Source organism: Homo sapiens, chromosome 9, assembly GCF_000001405.40.
Source record: "Homo sapiens chromosome 9, GRCh38.p14 Primary Assembly".
Taxonomy (NCBI): Eukaryota; Metazoa; Chordata; class Mammalia; order Primates; family Hominidae; genus Homo; species Homo sapiens.
The window spans coordinates 91,232,005-91,252,270 of NC_000009.12; the positions used below are offsets into that span (position 1 = coordinate 91,232,005).

At 41.4% G+C, this 20,266-nt stretch overlaps 1 protein-coding gene across 17 annotated transcripts in view, besides 1 other annotated feature; it reads right to left on the bottom strand.

The window, feature by feature from the left end:
• AUH (AU RNA binding methylglutaconyl-CoA hydratase) overlaps positions 1–20,266 on the bottom strand; it is a 148,096-nt gene that overhangs the window by 18,182 nt on the left and 109,648 nt on the right. The gene's annotated exons all lie outside the window — the stretch shown is intronic.
• Positions 3,983–4,277: a silencer, noted in NCBI's record as "tiled region #15085; HepG2 Repressive non-DNase unmatched - State 16:ElonW, and K562 Repressive non-DNase unmatched - State 24:Quies". NCBI's record gives its function as "represses a minimal TATA promoter and a strong SV40 promoter by Sharpr-MPRA in HepG2 and K562 cells {active_cell/tissue: HepG2 | K562}" and the evidence as "EXISTENCE:reporter gene assay evidence [ECO:0000049][PMID:27701403]".

Genomic DNA, 20,266 nt, shown 5'->3' on the forward strand with positions numbered 1-20,266 from the left:
TTACCACACAAAAAAAGATAAGTTGGTGAAGTCGTGGATATGTTAATTAGCTTGATTGACTCTTTCTACAATGTTTACATAGATCAATACACTATGGCCAGGCATGGTGGTGGCTCACACCTGTAATCCCAGCACTTTAGGAGGCTGGGGCAGGGGGATAGCTTGAGCCCAGGAGTTTGAGACCAGCCTGGCCAACGTAACAAGACTCTGTCTCTACCACACATAGAGATACAAAATCAGCCAGGCATCGCATGCTGACTACGGAGGCTGAGGCAGGAGGATTATTTGAGCCTAGGAAGTGGATGCTACAGTGAGCTATGATTATGCCACTGCAGTCCAGCCTGGGTGACAGAGCGAGATCTGTCTCTAAAAATATAAAAATGAAAACAAAATTATCACATTGTGCCCCATAAATATACAATTATTTGTCAGTTAAAAATAAATTTTAAAAAACAAGTGCCTCAAACCTTCCTAGGGGTAGTAAATTTATAGCACTTTTCCTTCCACAGAAAAGCAACTATAATATTTCTGCCATTTCAACACCCCACCAGCCAAAGGTACTATGTGAAGTTTCGTGTACCTACATGACGCTATGTCCAGATCAGCAAGCAGAAACTGAGTTCCAAAGCTGCATTACTATGCTATGAAGAAAGAAAGCGCCTTGGCCACTGCCCTTCCCTTTCTAATGTGTGAATGCTTAGAATATACAAGGGGATTTCTAAGGCTTTTTGCCTTGGCTGTGTCAACTTGGAGGTTCTGATTCAGTGAGTATGAGGTGAACCTAAGGTTCTGCATTTCTAATAGGCTCCAACATTCAGCTGAAGAGGCAGCAGAATCTACTAACCCACTGCTCTAAAACAGGAGGTGGAGAGATAATTCTCTTAAATTAAAGCAACAGAATTTACATAACCAAGTAAGTAATTGCAATCATCACCTCACATGCTGTCTACTTGTTGTTTAGGACCATTTTGGAATTCCTCCTTTAAAACTAATTTCACAGATGACAACCCATTTTTTCACTCATTGAAGCATCACTATGGAGGGACCCTGTTTTGGTACATGGATACATCCATGAACAAAACAAAGCCCCTGGCCCCTGGCGTTCAACACTGTCATGGGAAGCCTCGCAATAAAGAAAGAAATACACACAGAGAGTAAGAAAGCGGGGGGAGATGGAGTGGGGATGGGCACAGTTAAGACAGGATGGCCAGGGAAGGGCTCTGAGCAGGTGACACTGGAGCTGAGGCAGGAGGTAGCAAGGATTCCCACACAGGTCTGGGGAATGCATCTCCAGGAGGAACACGAAGGGCACAGGTTTTGTGGGAATTGCAACTGATTCACTTGTGGAGCACAAGGAGGTCCAGTGTGGCTGAAGTGCACAGCAGGGGCAGATCCTGTGGGTCCCATGGGCCCAAAAGGACCTGGGGTTTACTCTGAGGGGGACAAGAAGCCACTGAACATCTGAGAGCATCTTCTGAGAAACAGTGGTATGGGACTGTCATTCTCTAATGAAGATTTGAGCTTGTCAACCTAAATAAAAAACAGGGAGAGGGCCTCTAAAAGGAATCTGGGAATAAAGCATTGCAACAGGAATGCGTATGCCATAAACAATGTGTATATTCAGGGAGATAAAGGAAGACAAAGGTTTTTAGAGGAAAAAATGAAGATTACGTAACTGTTTCAAAATAATTATCCTTGGCTACAAAGATCAATAACAAGTAACGCCAGCCTGAGGCTGGACAGGCAGTTGAACAGACATCCTTGCAGAAGTGTCTTCTGTATAAGGTTACAATGGCCTTCATGTAAGGTTGTGGTTTTTGCAGAGTGTTTTGTGATGGTTTTAGTTATCAGGCATACAAGCATAAGAACCCTCTTTTCATGGGCTTCTCAATTCTATTTGTCAGGGTTATTTTTAACACCAGTGATTCCATTTTGATTCCTCAGAGATTTGAGGGAGAATTATGGTCATGAACTAAGAAGACGGGGGTAGGCAGATGTTTGTACTATTTGTGGTGGAGCTCCAACAAGCTCAGAGAGAGACTTCTAAACAAGTTCCCCAAATGATTTGAATGTTGGCCATGTTTTGGCTGCTCAACATCCACTGCCCCCATTAAAATCCCGGTCTTGCTTTTGGAGACCCCTTTGGCCACCCCTCTCTCCACTGTATCAGCCTTGGACAGTAGAGGATCCCTGCAACTGAAGCCCAAGAGCCAGAGCTGCCTCCTCTGCCCTGACACAGCTGGACAGGCGTCTACATCAGGTCTGGCCTGCTGGATGCTGCTTCCAGGACTGACAGTCTGAATGGGCAACCTCATGGCATGGAGATTTGCCAAGCTCACAAAGAGCACAGGGCAGTGACGTGCAGACCTGCCATGGTATAGACTGTCTAGTTCTGGGGCTCCTGGGTTCCAGTTTGTGCTCTAAGCTTCAATCTCTATCCATCTATTGATTTCAGGAGACTTACAATAAATTTCCTTTTCATTTAGGGTAGCCAGAGTCAATTTCTATTGCTTACTCTCCAAAAAGACGAATCATACAATAATAGAGCTATTAGTTTTCTTTCTCTTTAAAAAAGTCAGATGAAACTGAATGGGAGTTTATCCGTTTTACTTTTTCCAAATAAAGCTTATTTAAGTTCAATAAATAATTTATTGATTAACCTAACAAGTGCCAGGCACTGTCCTAGGTGCTGAACCCACAGTGCTGAGTAAGATAGACCATTCCTTACCATTCTGCAGAAGGAGAGCAAAGACAAATGGCAAGAAGCAATGGGCCAGAGAGAAGAGACTGTGAGGAGTGTTACACAGAGAATTTCAGGCAGGGAAGAGAGTTCTGAGACAGCACACTAGATGACTAATTTAGATTGGGTGGTTGGAGAAGGCCTGCTTGATAAAGGTGAGGCCAATGTCTGAAATATAACCAGACATCCAAATGAAGATCAGGAAGAACACCCAGTGATGAGCTCAGCTGGTACAAAGATGTAAAGATGAGGCAGAGTATGGCCCATTGAAGGAGACCACTGTGGCTCATAGGAAAGGATGTGAGGAGGAGCAGGACAGGAGCTTGGGTAAGCGGAGTAGAAGTTTACATTTTACCCTAGGCAAAGTGACACAAAGGCACTGGAGGATTTTGAGCAGCAAGTGACATAATTTGATCTGCACTTTAAAAAGATCATTTGTAAGATTGGGGGAGAAGAGATGATAGGGGCAAAATCAGAACAGGGTGCCCAGTAGGCAGCTACTGCTGTCACCCAAGTACAACAGGATGGCAGCTTGGACCGAGACAGCGCAAGGTAGGGAGAGAGATGTGGAGGACTTGGAATAAGTGTTGTCTGAAATGCTAGTTAAATGGATGCTGGGAGAAAGGAAAATCAATCTAATGGCTAGATTTTTAGCCTGAGTGTGTGAGTGTCCGATATTATGAACACTGACAAGAATGGAGGAGGGGGAAGCTGTGCTCTGGCCAAGGTAAGTATAATGTATCTTTTACACATAAGAGTGGAGCAGTCATGTGTGAGACTGGACACAGAGAATAAGGTTTACCAATGATTAGTATCATACAGGTAGCATTCAAAACCAAGGTCCTGAATAAGATCACTTAGGGAGACTGTTTAGACAAATGTCAGCAAGACCTGGACAGGTGCTCACTGAGGCTGTTCAGCTGCTCAGGTGCAGCCAACCACATTTTATAAGTCACCTGTTCCTGTTCTACCACTATTCACCCTACCCTTCCTTCAATAAAGCTATGTCTGCAGGGGTCTTCTAGGAAAGATATTCTTCACTGAAATAAAGACATTCAGGAATACACAGGTCTTCTTCCAGGATGCTGTCACCTCTAAATGTGATACTTAGAGCTATGGCAGCCACCTTGTGACCATGATGGAAGGTGGCAAGGGCAAAGTCTCCAAACTGAAGATGGCACAGCAGAAAGACAGCACTAGGCTGCTGACCTTATCAATCCTGAAGACGCCTTACTCTGTGACTGCTTGTGATGCTACAGAGTATTTTCTTATTGTTTAAGCCAGCTGAAATAGGGTTTCCTGTAATTTGTACCAAGAACATCAGGAAGTACAGATGGATGGAGGAAAGAGATTTGAACATGCATTTCAGAAAGTGGAAAAGCAAACATACTAGGGAAGTATGGCAGTGTTGCTGGGCAAAATTAACTACACACTTGAGATGTGTGATCAGGAGATGAGTTAGCATGATTATTTTTTCCATCCCTAGCAATTTCTAGCTAACTGGTGGCAGGGGTTGGGGGGATCGGGGTGGGGGTCTGGAACTTTGCCAGACAAGTACAAGAAGAGAGGAGAGAGCTCAGTAATACCAACCGTTGACATTACTGAGCAGATACTACATAACACTACGTAAATCCTCCCAAGTACTCCAAGAGTATTCACTCATTTAATCCTTACAATTCCCCTATGAGGTTAGTGGGAAGGTAGCTAAGGTCATTTGTAAGAAAGTGATTATCACAAAGAACCATGAAATCTAGGCTGTGTGAGGAGAGAAGAGAGGAAAAGAGGGAAATGATTGAGAGTGAGTGGCCCCAGACCTGAGGACTTAGTGAGGTCTGAACAGAACTGGAAGGTTAGGATGCTGCAGAGTGAGAGGCAGGAAATCGAGATTCAGAACAGAGCAGGTGTGCATAACTGGAGGTTGTGGGGTGACTGGGCTGAATGGGAAGGAGGAAGAGATCCCTGCAGGTGCAGTCACAGACTGCTAAAATTCAGCTCATGGACAGTATGAGACAATGTATAGATAATGCTCATCATGGTTTCTGGAATAAATTTTCTGTGTTTTAAAAGCCACTGAAAAGCAAATATTTGAATACTGAGAACCCATCATTTTTAAATAGGAAAAATAGTAATTTATTCTTAGCCCACCCAAAAGCTCCAATCAATTTCCCCACAAATCGATAAAATGGCAGGAAAAAAAACCCCATAAACTGCTATGTAACAGTCTACCACAATTTCTACATAATATTTAGCATTTTAAACACCAATTACCTACTTATTGAATTCTTAATGAATTATTTAGGGGATACGTGTATGTGCAGAAAATGAATCTATCAGCTACAGATTATGTTTCCTCCTATGTGGCATTAAACAGATAATGTGATGAAAATAAACAATAAGCTATGTTATAGGTAAAAGATGAATGCCAATAATGCTTAGCAAAATTAACAAAGAATTTCAAAACTGTTTACTTATCAAATGAAAAGTCTGGTGGTACAGGAGGGAGAGAGAGAGGCAAGAGTCACTGCTGCTCCCTGGTGATGCGGTAAAGCTGTGTGCCGGGGCAGGAGTGAGAACTGTTCACACTCAAATGAATTTCTTTCGTTGGTACTCAAGATCCTGGGAGTGAATGGCTTTGACTCACTGTCTGAAGCCACAGACAAAGTAAGAGGATAAAAACACTCAAAATGGATATCTTTGTTTCTTTTGCTTGTGATCTGTAAATAATATTAAAATGAGTTTCTAGTTTATAAGCGGTTGACTCTTTTCATTTATTCACTAGTTTTCAAAATTACAAGGTGGTTCCCTAGTATCCTCTAACGCTGAACAGTTAAGTTTTTAATCTTTGGAAATCATAATTAACTTATAGATTTTAGCCTATTTGATGTATGACAACCCACTGCAGTTAAAATCTTTATTGATGCTCAAACTACCCCATCTTTGACCAGTGAGGACTTAGTTAGATTGGCTGTGAAGTCCTTTTGACATGACCAAAATAGTCATCAATAACTTCCTGTTACCTGGTATCACAAAATGTTCCAAGCTCATCTTGTACCTTTCCTCCTCAGACCTTGATTCCTTTTAGTGGAGCTACATTTTTAAATGTAACGCTTTTGCTCACATCATGATCAAGTTTATTTACAATAGCAATGATTTCATATGGTATGTTCTGAATTCTTTTAAAGATTTTGCATTGAGATTCAAAGCTTCTCTTTTCTAACAAATGACGAGCACTGAGGATGAGCATTACCAAGGGAGTATGGGGAATGAGTTTTTTGCTAGTCAGTACTTCACTACATGGGCTACTGGATTGCCAACATTTTCAGTGTCCGTTTTATACTAATTTTATTGCTTTGATTTAACCACTTTCTTGAAAGCTTAAAAGTCAGAAACAAAATTTTGGGACCAGTTTTTTCAGGGTTGCATAAATATCACAAATGACCACTGTTAGAAACCAGGTTCCCTCAATGTTTCTCATTTGTCATTCTCAGGCTGCATCTTCTGTCCTTTCAGATTATCTCATGGTCCAAAAAGGCTGCTGAAGCCTTGCAATCAGGTCTGCAAACCAAATAGCAGGAAGGGAAAAGGGGGAATGGGAAGGGAGTGCTCCATTTTCAAAGCCACTGACTAAGTACTGGACAACAGTATCTGTTTGCATCTCACTGCCTAGAACTTGGCCATGTGTAGCTGGAGGAGGCTGGGAAATGTAGTTTCCTTGCTGAGTGTTTTGCCATAGCATAGAGAATAAAACTGGGACTCTCTCACTAAGGGAAAATGAAAATGGGTAGGCAATTAGCAGACACTACCACAAGTGGCAAAACTGTTTTCATCATGCAACAAAATGTCTTCATGTTCATGTATCACTTGGATAGAATAAAGATATACTTGAAATGTAATATTACTGTTTATTATTTTTCCTTCATTTAATCTTTTTGAGAAGACATCAAGAATTTTTCTCCCTAGGTAATAATCTCCTGCGATTATACTACTTAAAACACAACTTACTTTGAGGTAGCAACCTGTCTTAGCAGAGGCTTAAAGCACAGCAAGCTTTTGCCAGAGAAGGCAAGAAGTAAAATGTTTAAAATATCTGGTTATCTCCTGTATTCCCTGCTGCCTCTTGGGAGCCATGAGAACCTTCAATGCCATGGGGAGATGTTGGCAGCAATCTGAGACTACTCTCCCCTTTCCTCCAAGACCAAAAGACCTAAATTCAAAGTACAGAATAATGTGAAATATAGATGTTACTTCCCCCTTTTTATATTTACATGTATTAAAATAATCTAAAGCAAGCTTTGACATTTCACATTCAATTACAATGTAATGTGTAAAGAACTGACCATACCTTATGACTTTGGATTATAAAGTATGTTTTAGTAACATTTAACGGTGGAAAACCCAAGCTTTTTGTTCTGTTTTTTTTTTTTATCCTTCATCTTTTCCCTTCTCAAGAGAGCACAAAGAAAGAAGTCATACTGATAAAGGGGGATGCTCATAACAAATCTTCCAAGTTAAAAGTATGTGGATACCAAATTGAGGGCATTTACTGATATGCTTAGAAGTGATCTCTGACTTCTGATAGTAAATACCACTTTTGAATTACTTATAAATCTTCTCTCATAAATAGAAAAGCCCCACTTCAGGTTGTTTTTTCCTTGAACCATGGGAGGAAACACTGCAGTATAATGCTAACTTTGGATTATAAAGCCCACTGCAAGCTGATTCCTGTGGGACTCTGTGTCAGATGGCCTAGGCAAGAGCTTTCTTCATGCATCAGGGCTTGATGCTTACAAAACTAACTTCCTCTCACTTTACAATGAAAGCATCAGGGTTAAAGAGGAGTGAGCTATGTGAACAAACATGGCATGTTTACTAGTCTTAAATTGTGTCACAATCATACAAAAACCATAAAAATATTTATCCTTCCATTTGTGACCAATGTTTAAAGTGTTGTAATGCTTCCTATTCACTGAGGCCTGTTGTAAAGCAATGAAAACACACACGCACACACACACATGCACACACGCACGCACAAGACAGAGGGCTATGTAAGGAGAAAAACCTAACTGGCTCAACCCCAGCAGAACCTGCCTGAAGCATATTAGTTTGAGCTCTTTGTGGATTATGGTAGAGAAGCCTTTAGCAATCAGGACTGGAATGGGGAAGGAAGGCTGGACAGCAAAAACGTTTTTCCAGAGCAAATTAAGCAAACTGGCCACAATTAAACACTTTTGTGATACAGCTTTCATTAATATTTATTATAGAAAGCTTTTTCAACTATTATGCCACACACTGTTAGAGAAACATACACACCCAAGTCTTAATCATTAAAAACAAAATTACGCTTATTTTTCAATGTTTACATGCACCTTTAAAAACAAATATTTGCTGATACATTGTGATATCTTTTTAAAAAAAATTTTGAAGATGTATTGTTACCTACCAGAGGAACACAAAATCTTCCTTTCAAAATCTTTTATTTAAAGACTGCCATGGTGTGCATCTGTCCATTCTTGGCCAGCTCCCACCAATAGCACTGTGCACCCCTCCGCCTTTGAGTGCTGTCTTGAGGCTGTGAACTCAGATGCTTGCCCTGGTGGCTCTGAGAGGTCTCTGGAGGCTTCTCCTGCCCAACCCTCACTCACACCCATATGACCAAGACGTGAGCACATGACTCAAGTCAGACCAATCAACTCTCTCTCCTTCAGCGTGGATCTTGAACAGAGCAATGGAAGGAATGGCTGGGCTAGTAAATTGGAGTGAAGGCCTCCAGGTAAGGCTATCTGGAGCTGTACTTCCAGGGAGAAGTTTCTGTGATGGTGGAAAGGGTTTGTGTTTGCACTATGTAATACAGAAGTCACTAGCCACATGTGGCTACTGAACACTTGAAATGTGACTAGTATGGCTCAAGTTTTAATTTTTAGTTCATTCTGATCAATTTAAATTTAAATCATTGCATGTGGTTAGTGGCTACAATACTAGATGGCACAGGTCTAGAGTCTCCTGCCACTGAGAGAGTCTCTGGGGGCCCTTTAGCCTCCCATGAGCTCCCTTTTGGTGGTAACACTGGTTTCTGTTCAAAACCAAAGAAACTTGACATGACCTACAGTTCATTTCAACATGCCCAATGTCTTAGTCAATGATGCAGCTGAGGGAGAAGGTCTACACAACATCTCTACAGTTCATGGCCAGGGTAGGAGGATGCTGCACAGCACAAAGTGGGAAAACAGCCAGCTGATGCCTAGCGATAAGTGCGTTCTGTGGTCTAGACAACCTGGGTCACACAAAAGTGACCTAAGAAGGAAGACATTCAGAATCTAAATGATAATCTTACAATACAGTTGCTCAACATACACAAGAGAAGTGGTATCGGCCAGCCTGATCTAAACTGAGATCTTCCCAACAGACTTCTGAACATAACACCTATCCCAGGTACATGGAAACTGTCCAGAGAAACAAAACTAATAGAAAGAGGGGATCCAATGGACTCTTCTGTAGCAGCATACATGTATCAGATCAATTACTAGGGCTGCAGTAAGACATCTACCTACCTACAGTAAAAATATCATGCCATAACATGCCTAACCAACTATGTCTTACATGTGTTGCACTTTTTCATTCTAATCCCTAGTTATTTATATAGACAATATGTTATATATTATATATAAGTATATGTGATTGATTTAAAGTCATATTAGTATCTACAAATGTATTATAAGGATTATGGCTAGGCTGGATATTTTTTCCTTTTTGAGATTTTGTGTTAGGTTTTCCTTTATTAGGTTTTGTGGTAAGTACATAATATGTATTATGTATGTGTAATACATATATACTTGTGTCAAATGAACATGAATACATAAGCCAGCCCTAAAGAAAAGTCTTGATTACATTATTTTAATGCAGTAACATTTGCCAGAGATATAATGTTTCATGTTTACCTTACTAGACAAATCATGTAACTACTAAAGCAAAATGTCAAACTTAATACCTTGATATCTACAGATTCCACCCCTTAAGAGTTGTATTTAACATTTTATACTTTAAAAAAAAATCAAACTCTCTTAAATGGTGAAAACAAATCAACTATGTAATATTTCCTAGCCCAACTGGACACTGAATATGGTAAAGCATAAACCATGTAGTCTGTTTAAGAAAGAAACTATGTCATCATGTCTAATGATTTAAATAATAGTTATTTATTGTGCACTACAAGTTACTCTAAAACTCAGTGGTTTAAAACAAACACTTACTCTTTGATAGATTCTAAGGGGTCAGGAATCCAGGAAGAGCTTGGCTGGCTCTCCTGCTTCCAGGCTCCCTTCCCCACGGCTGGCAGGCCTTCTCGGTCCTGCACACATAAGCTACATTGCAGGGCTGCCTCTTGACAAGGCATTGCCAGGGCGAGTGAGTCAAGGAAGCCATAGTCTTTTTACAACCTATCTGAGAGGTGACGTCCCATTGCTTCTAAGTCAACATGGCCAGCCTCACTCCACAGGCAGCATTACACTGTGTGAACACCAGGCAGTCAGGTTAGAGGCTGCCTACCATGAGGACAAAGATTGATCAAGCAGCACACACTGTAAGGAGCATCTTTTCTTCCACTCATCTTTCTTTTACCAAAAAACCCCAGTATTTTTCAAGACAACATTCAGAGAGTATTTCCCAAAGTTCAAAATCATCCCTCATTCTTTCCAAATCAAGGAGGAAGTAAAAAAGAATATGTGAACCACTTATCTTGAAAAAATAATAGAGGAGGAAAAGTGTGGAGAGAATACTATGGAAAACAATCCTTTTGGAAAGCTCAACACATGAAAAACACACCGTACTTGCCAACCACAGTCAGAAGTGAAGGAAGTGACACCCTCACATCAACCGTTTTTCTTGTGTTTCTGAATTAACTGTAATAACTGTAACAATAAAGAGTGAACACTCCATTTCATAAAAACTGAACTTTCATGTTTTCATTAAATGAGGGTTCTAATAAAAGACTTAAGATGTAAGTGAGAAATCCTTACTAACTGCATGTTAGAAACACAAAACATCTGGCTAAGTTTACCAGGTGTTATCAGATAGTAAAATATCAGGAATAAAAGAAATAATATGTGAAAATATTTCATGTTACCTAGAAATGACCAAAGAATGGAGTGGACATGAAGACAAGAATGTTTCTGATATTCTTTATCAAAAGTAGGGCACATGATGAAAATTTAAAGATTCTGGGCATAGCAACACCATTATTAACAGGTAAATAACTACCACGTATTGAGAACTTACTAGGTACTATGTAATGGAATACATTACTCTTATAATGTTTCAAAGAATCCTATGAGGTCACTATCATAATTATCTTCATTTGACAAATCTGAAAACTGAAGGCTCAGAGCAGTAAGGTGGCCACCAGATCCATATGCACTAGTAAATCAGTGGTGGATTAGCTATGTCTCATTCTGCAAGTCACCTGCTTTTCCTAACAGTCAGCTACCTACCACTAACAGAGACCAGAAACCTGAGACCCATAGCTCCTTAGCTATCTTTGCCAGGGCTAAGCCTCAGCGAGACTTAATAAGCATACGAATATAACTGGGTAATCAGAACAAAAGGAAAAATGAATTATTACCTATCTCATCTGTTATCAGAGGCAGTGACAATGGCAGAAAGCTTCAAAACAAAATCACACAGCAGTCAGCTCCGGTTGGGCAGGTGTTGCTGGAGAGAAATGAATTACACGGCAAGGCCCGTGTGATGGAAGGGTGCACAACACTCTGCCTCCTCACTTCGCTGCAGATCTTCCTCCTCGCTTTCTATTCTCTGTGCTGGCCCACCTCAATCTTATCTTGCAGTTTTTAGGGCTAGTGCTACAAGAAAAGGCCTGAGACGTGAAAGATGTGGAACTGACCACAAAGCACAGAACCTGTGCAGAGGGGCCTGAGCCGATGTGTCATGTGTCCCACCCTGCACCTTCTGGGGTCTCCTGCTGGAGATCAGCCCGGGTGGAGCAGCCCACTTTTTTTTTTCTTTGTAACCTTTAACAGAAAACGAGCAGCAAAATGAGCAAATTAAAACAAGCAGGATATTTGACTATAACTAAAGCTATAAAGGTGAACTAGATAGCTTTACTCTTCATCGGGAAAATCATCAAACACTCTGTAAAAGGACAGCATTAGAAGATTTTGTTATTTAACGAACTAGTCAACAACTGTTTCATATTAAGAAAGTGGAATGAGCCATTCTTCTTAGCATAGCAAAGAAACTCTAACTTACTGGAAACAAATTATATTATAAAACATATCCAACATCCAGTCAGTTTTTCAAAACTCTAAGACATATCTCAAGAAAAACAAAACAAAACCAAACGATCTTTCCCTCCCATCCCAAACAAAAGTAAAATCAAGGCATACCATAAAACAACTAAAATCTCTATCTAAACCAGCAAGAAAAACTACCCACAACATATAAAATGAATGTATTCACCAACAACTATTGCTTCTTTAGGTTCAGTTGGGTAATTTATAAAAATCATCCAATATTTGTAAAAGGTTCACTGTATAGTATTAATAGAATATCAGTTAAAATAACATTGGCCAAAGCTGTCATAATAAAATGTTGGGGGATAACTTCACAAAATTGGCCACCTGTAGACTTCCTAGTTACTGAATTTGCACATAAACTTAATGTAGTCAGTTATATTAAACTGAATATAAACTTAAGCTGCAAGTTTAATAAACATGTTTTAACAAATTTTTTAGTTTTCATATTTCAAAACATTTTAAGGCACAGCTAGAGGTAAGATACATTTGAAATTCATATAAATGTTGACACTTTTTCCTTCCCATCCACATCTCCCAACTAGCTTCCTACAGGCACTGTTAAGTATGTTGGTAAGGAAGGTCAGTGACTTCCTTTCACTCCGCTTACCAGTGTCCTGAGGGTTCTAAACCCACAATGGCAGGTTCCAGAGGGGGCAATCCCTGTCCTGTATCCTGTTCCAGGAGAATGTGTGAAGGGAAGTTCTAGACATGACGAGTATTAATTACTGCTCTCCTAGCAAGAACCATCAAAGTATTGTCACTGTACAAAATATGGTTTATGGCAACAATGGATTTACCAAGGTGCACCTCTGAAAAATTATTTGAGATGCAGAGGTTAAAGGTTAAAAGTAAGCCATACTGTCAGTATTTTAAATGAAAAATTCTTTAAACACTGAAAACAAAATATGCATTGATTACAAATTTAAAATGTATATTGCAGATTTCTCTATTTAGCTAGCTCACAACTAATTCCTAGACACCCTCTTTGAACTCAATCAGAGCAACAACAATTAGTTGAATAACCAGAGAGGGAAGGGATGAGAGGTGGGGAGGAAAAAAGCAACGAGAGAGGAAGTGACACAGTTGCATGGCACAAGCATGAAGAGCAGGGCTGGGAGCACACACAAGAGATTTCAAGTGTGGGCCCAGCAGGTGGGAACTGGAACCACGGCCCACCCCAGGAGCCCCGTGGGGAAGCATGGCCTACCCCAGGCACAGAGTTGGCAAATGGGCAGAACTGTGAAAAGTATGAGACTATTACACCCTCTTCCCATGAGAAGACAAAGGGGTGCAATGGCAGCCAATGAAAAGTTTTAAAATCAGAACGCTTTTTGAGAAACAAGGCCCCACTTCTCAGCAGGGAGTCCCACAGAAGACAGCCATTTTGGTTTTTATCTGATAAGAGGAAAGCTGGAGAAAGAAGAAAAATATCAAAATCACCTAATCACTAATCACCCCCAACAATTAAGCAAGGGTTGAGTAAAAAGTAAAGCAAAAGTGAAAATAAATGAAACAAGATCAGTGGGACCAAGATGACTGAGTAGGAAGTGCCTGAGTGAGAAGTCTATGAAGCATCAATGACTGGAGCTGACATCTGCTGATAGAAGCAAACGGGTGCCAAGTGACTTATGGGCATTATCTCATTCAATCCTTCCACCTACCCCAGGATGTAGGGACTATCATCTTCCTCCACACAGATGAGAAAACGGAGGCCTAAGGTAGGGCCTGGAGCCAGGATGCAAGCCTGGGGAGCCTGCTCTGGCCCTCTCCTCCCCTGTGTTCTAGAGGGAGTGCACCTTTGACCCCTGCGCTGTCCCTAAAAACACTCATGGACTGTGCCCATCCTTCTTGTCTAAAGCTGGCAAGATGTGACGGGGATGGGGACAGGAGCAGGGCCCATAAACACCAGAGACCTACTGTCCTAAAATGCCAGACCCCTGTCCTGAGCTGGGAAACCATATTAAGCAAAGGGTGTGTCTCACAGGAAACAGATATGAGCAGATTCGGTGGAGGCAGCCTGGGAAAAGATATTTACAAAGCTGAATCATGGCCTCCCGCCCTGCTGGGTGATTCCTGCCTCCTCTCCTCCCATTCTCTCAGACAAAGAGGAAAAGCAAAAGAAACACCACAACAATTCTGAGCCCTCAACCAGAATCAACCCAAAGCTCACTCGCTGTGTAAAAGAAGAAGAATACTGACAGAGGTTCATGCTAAAAAAACAAACAAACAAAAAACCACGTGGAAGATTAACAAAAGACATGGCATAGTTACTGGACAAGACAGGCCAGCCTCCCCACTCCTCAAAGCAAACCAAACCAAACAAGCCCCCTACTGAGGACAGCAAAGGCACACACATGGCATCCTAAAGACACCGTCTTTTATTTAAGAAAGCCTAACTAATAACTGAAGAAAAGTTCCCAGAAGTGCTTACTATGAAATAATTTAGAGATGACATAAAATCAATATATGAGACTCAAAGAGGCGATGGCAAATGAACACGCTGAAATGAAAAACAAGATTGCAGAGCAACTGAAACACTGAGGACCAAAATAACATAAATACAGAACTAATAAATGAATTAGAAATAGCATGCTAGAAGGAATAAGGCTAAAGTCAGAAATCACGCCAAAGGCAAAACACTTGTTTAAAGGTGGTATATGCACACAATGAAGTTAGAAGCTAAGCAAATAAACGTTAAGAGAATAGGCATAAAGGATAAATGACTATTTAACAAGGAAAACTGCTGTTTCTAAAGCACAAAATCCAAGAGTTAGGAATAGAAGACAAGTCTATGGCTGAAAAGCCACATGATGAGGATGGCAAAACAGCAGGCTGGAAAGTCTGGTAGTCCCCATCATGCCTAAGCAGCGGAGCCATGCCAGCAGCGGAGCCATGCCAGCAATGCCTTCCCAGACTTCTTATAAAAAGATACCCAAGGCCTTGTTAAGCCACAGTCAGCTGAGTCTTCTGTTACCTGCCTCCTTTCCCCGACAATCCTTCAGCCTACTCACACTCAATTCCCTTCCATACAGCCTCCTCCCACTGCTGCAACAGCTCAGCCACATTCTTTGCAGTGAAGCCTTCTTTCCTCTCTCACTGCACATGGCTGGCAAACTCTCCTCCGTACACTGCATCACCCTTTTAACCTTTTCTGAGTCTACATCCGGACAGAGAAACACTGCTGCAGAGACCCATCAACTTCAACCGATAGTGCTACTCTGCAAGAGGGTAAGGGGGGCAGCTAACTCTCACTCCCCATAAAGGTGGTTGCCACAGCACCATTCCCCTTCCCTGCCTCGCCCCTCAGTCAGTCACACTCTTATGCAGATCATCTCTCCTGTCTCTCCCACTCCCACTGGTCCATTTTTCTCACTCTCACAGCTGCACGCCTACAGTACCTCAATTCCCAGCCTCTCCATCTCCTTGGATCACATCTTGTCCTGCCCCCTCCCTCCTCCCTGACACATGGGGCTCTGGCACAAGGAATCTATTCTCCAATTTAAAACAAATCCCATTGTGTCCTCCAGGGCCAAAATCCTTCAGCCACCAAACTGTTAGTATTCTCTCTGAATTAGTGACCAATAATGCTAGCATTGGTGAAAGTTCCCAGTGTTCTACATCCTTGCCAACATTTACTAGTCTTTAATTTTAGTCATTCTATAGGTGTTCAGTATTGTCTCATCGTGGTTTTAATTTGTATTTCCCTAAAGACTACTGATGTAGAGCATCTTTTTATGTGCATATTTGCCATACTTACATTTTCTTTAGTGAAGTGTCTGCTTAAATATCTTGACCATGTTTTAACTAAGTTGCTTTGTTTTCTTACTATTGAGTTTAGAGAATTCTCTACAAATTTTGGATACAAGTCCTTTATCAAAAATATGATTTACACATATCTTCTTCTATTCTGGAGCTCGTACTTCCATTCTCTTAACAGTGTCCTGACAAAAGACATTCTTAACTTCAGTAAGTCCAGTATTTCTATTTTTTTCTCATGTGGATCATGTTCTTGGTGTCTCATCTAAGAAACCTTAGATTTCTAACCCAAAATGAGAAAGATATTTTTCCCTGAACTTTGTTCTAAGCACTTCTGTTTTTAGGTTTTACATTTTAAGTCTGTGATCCATTTTTATCAATTTTTACATATTGTGAGAACTATGGATTGAAGTTCATTCTTTTGCATACGGACAACCAATAGTTGAAAAGCCTGTTCTTTCCTTGATTAACTGCCTTTGCATGAGGCTTTATTTTTCAATGTTCAACTCTGTATTATGTGTTATTTTTGTCTCTAAGGAGTCTACCAAAAACATCTCAAGATAAAGGACATAACTTTTTCCTAAAAATGCCTACAACTATTAGAAATATAAGGAAGAAAAATATGGGCATAAGTTCCTAACAATATTGGATTTTAGACAAAGAAAGCACAACCTAAAAGGAGTGATACAAAGGAAGCCTGTGGGAAGCGGGAGTGCCCCCAGGGGTAGTGGGAATATGGTCTAGATTACATATATGAGCTCTGGGGTGGGACACGGAAATTTAAATAACTAGTACGTAAATCTTAAGCTTATAATACCAGTTTTTGTCCTCACTGTTTCATATCAAAATGCACTTATATATGTACAGTAAGTCCTCACATAACATTGTTGGTTCCTGGAAACTGGGACTTCAAGCGAAACAACATGTAACAAAACCATTTCCCCTCACAACAACATTATAAAGGAACAAGGATGAACAAAAGGATGTGATTTCAGGAGCCGCTGTACATCATTTTGTTTAAAGTTGCAGTTTCCAAGAACCAATGATGATGTTAAGCGAGGACTTACTGTTATTATTAGCAGGCTAGCACAATGGCATTTTTGGCTCACGGTCAACACTGTGATACTGTGACTAGGCTTCTATGTTTGCAGTGGATACCTCCATGTAAATTATGAAAAACAGAAATGAGTAAAGAATACAACATTTCTGGGCCAGGCACGGTGGCTTACACCTGTAATGCCAGCACTCTGGGAGGCCAAGGTGGGCAGATCACTTGAGCCCAGGAGTTCGAGACAAGCCTAGGAAACATGGCACAACCCTGTCTCCACAAAAAATACAAAAATTAGCCAGGCCTGGTGATGCACACTTGTAGTCCCAGCTACTTGGGGGGCTAAGGTGGGGGGATCACCTGAGCCTGGGAGATTGAGGCTGCAGTGAGCCATGATTGCACCACTGCACTCTTGCCTGGGCGACAGAGAACCTGTCTCAAAAAAAAAAAAAAAAAAAAAAAAAAAAAAAGAACACAATATTTCTGAACACTGACCTGGAGTTCTGTAAGAGGGGGTTTGGGGAACACTGGACCCACATGGCTCTGTGACATACCAAAGAAACAATATCTCACACATCATCTTATAAAGCCCTCTTTTCCTGTAACCTCACCCTTGTGGCTATTCTTTGAGCTAATTACACAAAAGTTGTTTGTTCGGTAGTTTTTTTTTGGTAACACCGACATAAGATCAGCAATATAAGAGATACTTTCAAAGCATACTTAATACTCAAATATCTTCTGTACCTTTGCTCATGACTATGAATACAGCAGGTAAAAGTACACTTAAAGACCATGTTCAAAAAGGTATTCATCAACTACTGTTTGTGTTCATTTTAAACAAAAAGGCTTTGCAATTGTTTTTAAATCAGGGGTTCTGGCCGGGTGCAGTGGCTCACACCTATAATCCCAGTACTTGCAGAAGCTGAGGCAGGCAGATCACAAGGTCAAGAGATCAAGACCATCCTTGCCAACATGGTGAAACCCCATCTCTACTACAAATACAAAAAAATTAGCTGGGCACGGTGGTGCGTGCCTGTAGTCCCAGCTATTCAGGAGGCTGAGGCAGGAGAATTGCTTGAACCTGGGAGGTGGAGGCTGCAGTGAGCTGAGATAGTGCCCCTGCACTCCAGCCTGGAGACAGAGTGAGACTCCGTCTCAAGAAAAAAAAAAAAAATCAGGGGTTCCAGTTGTATTCTCCACTAAATTCTTCTTTTAGAAAGAAGGAAAAAAAATGAAAAACTTAAAAAATTGTCTCCAGGCAGAAGGACAGAGGAGCTGTCAAGAACCTGGCCTCCACCTGCCAGGGCGAGCCTGGAGTCCCGGAGGTCTGAGACCGCACCTGCTGCCCAGCACATGGCAGCCCTCCCAGTGCACACCCACCTCACCCACTCCTCACGACTCACCCATCCCAGCTTGCCATGGTGTGCAAGTTTTTCTCACTCCTCTGAAAAATTCTCTTGATACCACACTCATACCAAAGCATTCTGTAAAGGGCCCTAAAGGCCACTGTATCACTCAGCAAACACAGTGTCTATTTATTACATTTTCTTGTTCACTGCATGTCCTGACTGAGGATCAGTTACAGCAGGAGAACTTGCCCCTTGCCTTTTCCACACACGGAGACAGGTGAGTCTCTTATATTCCCAGGGAGCTGCCAGATGTGTGACCTATTAGCTTAAGCAGTATTTTTGCTAGTATGTGATTCTAAATCACTACAGAGTATTTTTTGCCACTGCTACATATTTGCAGCAACTATGTAATCTGCATACCCGTATTTTATTGCTCAGGCAACTAAAACCCTAAGAAAATGTTGAGGACATACTCATTATGTTTTCTTCTCTCTGGAGTACAGCACCCATCATTTAAAGCTCAGTAAACAGAAACTTCTAGTTTCCAATATTTAATGAATCACTGATGTCCTCCGTCTTTTGACGGCAGAGAGTCGCCCTCAAGACAAGCCTCTGTCAGACTGCGGATGACCAAGTGTGAGCTCCCTGTTTCCTTCAACTTAGAGAGGGATACAGATTTCTGCTCTAGAGGACTTCTAATATTACACATCAGCACATCCCCTGGGTGTTGTAAAGGCAAGTAAGTATTTGATAAAGAGAAGAAACCACTCGTGGGTGGAGTGGCAGCTTCCTTCAGCACATGGGTGAGCTGTGAGCCCACCACACACGGCTGCAGCAGAAGAGATAGGGCACCAGCCTAGGGTCCAGACCAGGGGTTACCGACGTACCACAAAGATGCATTTTACCTTTGGGAATCTTATTTCTATCACCTCCTAGGTAAGGTAGACAGGATGGGCTTGCCATTATGAACATTCCGGGAGGTCGCCATGTCCTCTCCTTGCCAGTCCCCTCTAGGTGCAGCAGCAGTGCTCCAACATTTGGAGTGCAATGACATGGTTGAGGTGCTGAGCTCTTATCAAGACATGAAAATGAGCTCTTCTCTCCTAAGCTGAAACTAATCTTTCTCCAGTAAAGAAGTTTCACCTCCTCTCACAGGTCTTTCTATAATGCAGAGGCTGCCAAGGTGAAATTTATGCCTTTGCTGTGTGTTTTCAGAGTGTGAATACTCATAGGAGATTTACTCATGATGGGTCTTTACTATTTACAAAGTAGCTGGATTTCTGAGAGGAGTCACTGGAGAATGGTAAATACAAGTCAATCACTGGCTGATCATGTATTCATTATAAAAGCCAGAAGCTGTGGTTTCCATTGATATAAGCTCCCAAAGAGCCTGTAAAAGAAAAAGGGAAAGGGAGCCAAATGTCGAGTGAATGCCAGGATAGAGTAAACTTTCCATTTACTCCTGCTGCTCCTGAGCATTCTCTTTCATTCCCTCATAACCCAACAGCCCTCATCTATTCTAGCAACTCTTCGGATAAATTCTTATACTGATCAAGCAAAGAATAATTCACGCTGCCCCTTTAAGTGCTGTGATTATGTAATTATAATGTGGTAAGGGGTTGATAAATATTTCCTGCATTCCAGTACCTTCAAAGGCCTCCTTACTGTTAAACGGTTCAAGTCTAACTGAGCTCCAGATGCTGTTGACAAAATCTATCAATCTTCGGTCAACCTTTTTATTTTTTTTAATCTCTTTTTACTTTTCAGGATTTTCTTTTTTTTGAGACGGAGTCTTGCTCTGTTGCCCAGGCTGGAGTGCAGTGGCACGATCTCGGCTCACTGCAACCTCCACCTCCCCGGTTCAAGTGATTCTTCTGCCTCCGCCTCCTCAGTAGCTGGGACTACAGGAGCCCGCCACCATGCCCAGCTAATTTTCGTATTTTTTGTAGAGACAGGGTTTCACCATCTTGGCCAGGATGGTCTAGATCTCCTGACCTCGTGATCTGCCTGCCTCGGCCTCCCAAAGTGCTGGGAATACGGACTTGAGCCACCGCAGCCGGCCGAATTT